The 1,332-nt window shown below is 43.8% G+C and overlaps 1 annotated feature.

Moving 5' to 3' along the window:
* Window positions 870-1,040: a silencer, noted in NCBI's record as "fragment chr10:119545298-119545468 (GRCh37/hg19 assembly coordinates)". NCBI's record gives its function as "represses an EF-1alpha promoter that drives an FKBP-Casp9 reporter gene in an ReSE screen in phorbol 12-myristate 13-acetate-treated (for megakaryocytic differentiation) K562 erythroleukemia cells {active_cell/tissue: K562(+PMA)}" and the evidence as "EXISTENCE:reporter gene assay evidence [ECO:0000049][PMID:32094911]".

Raw genomic sequence — 1,332 nt, 5'->3', positions numbered from 1 at the left:
GCATTTGTGGTTTTCTTCTTCTCACCCATCATGACTCAATCATTTGTTGATGTTAAAATGAAAGGTGGCTGTTTTGCTCAATTGCAGTAATTATTTCCTTCAAGGAAAAGAGAAAACCTATGTTTCAAGCATCACTTTAAGTGAAGCTAAATATCCTGGCAAGGCCACAGCAGTACATATGGATAGGAAATAGAGGACCTTGTTGGAGCTGAGCTTCCACCAAGGCCTCCAAGAGAGCAGGTTCAAACTGGTGCAGTGTCCAGCCCTCACCTGGATATAACACCTCACAGCCTCCAAAACCTCATCTCCTAAAAGTTTCATGAAGATCCCACAGCAACCCTCTGCAGCCCACTTTCTAGATTGCTTTAAAGATGGGGAGACAAAAATGTGAAGAGAAGCTGGGTGACTTTCCAAGTAAGGGACCCTGCCTCTTGCTGCGGAATTTGTTTTTCCTATACCAGCTCCGGGGAGAATTTGAGCAGTTGAAGGTCAGAGCAGTTAGACTGTTCTGACTCTTAACTATAGGAGGCAGAAGGAACACTTAGAACCATTTAGGAATGAGGATGGGAAAAATTGAACCATGGACGATGTCCCAACCTCCCAAGCTCCGAGCTTAGGGCTTACATCACATGCACCATTTATTCTCCTTCTTTTTTTCTTTAAATTTTTTAAGCTTTAAATTTTCCCAAAGTCTCAGAATCTTCACTTCTGGGAATTTAGTCCATAAAAATAGAAGCACAATGACCTAAAGGTATGGATCTAGGAATACACACACAGAAGGGTGTTTAGTATAGCACTGTTGTCAGGGCCAAAAAGAAAATAAGATGAATGCCATTAACGGGAGAATGTTCAAATAAATTAGAATTAATTCCCACTATGAGAAAACGAGAGCTCCATTATTTGATTTTTTTTTTTTGAGACAAACTCTCACTCTGTTGCCCAGACTAGAGTGCAGTGGCATGATCTCAGCTCACCACAACCTCCAACCCCTGGGTTCAAGCAGCCTCCCGAGTAGCTAAGATTACAGGTGTGTGCCACCACACCCGGCTACTTTTTTGTATTTTTAGTAAAGATGGGGTTTCACCATGTTGGTCAGACTGGTCTCGAACTCCTGACCTCAAATGATCTGCCCACCTCAACCTCCCAAAGTGCTAGGATTACAGGCATGAGCCACTGCGCCTGGCCCATTATTTGATTTGGGGGGATTTCTGTGACATATTGGTGGGTGAGAAAAGCGAGGTGCAGTGATGCATATAAAATATGTCTTAGCTAGGTGTGGTGGTGCATGGCTATGGTCCCAGCTACTTGGGAGGCTGAGGTGGGAGGATCACC

Source organism: Homo sapiens, chromosome 10 (genome assembly GCF_000001405.40).
Source record: "Homo sapiens chromosome 10, GRCh38.p14 Primary Assembly".
Classification (NCBI taxonomy): Eukaryota; Metazoa; Chordata; class Mammalia; order Primates; family Hominidae; genus Homo; species Homo sapiens.
This window is presented reverse-complemented; position numbering and strand designations above follow the sequence as displayed.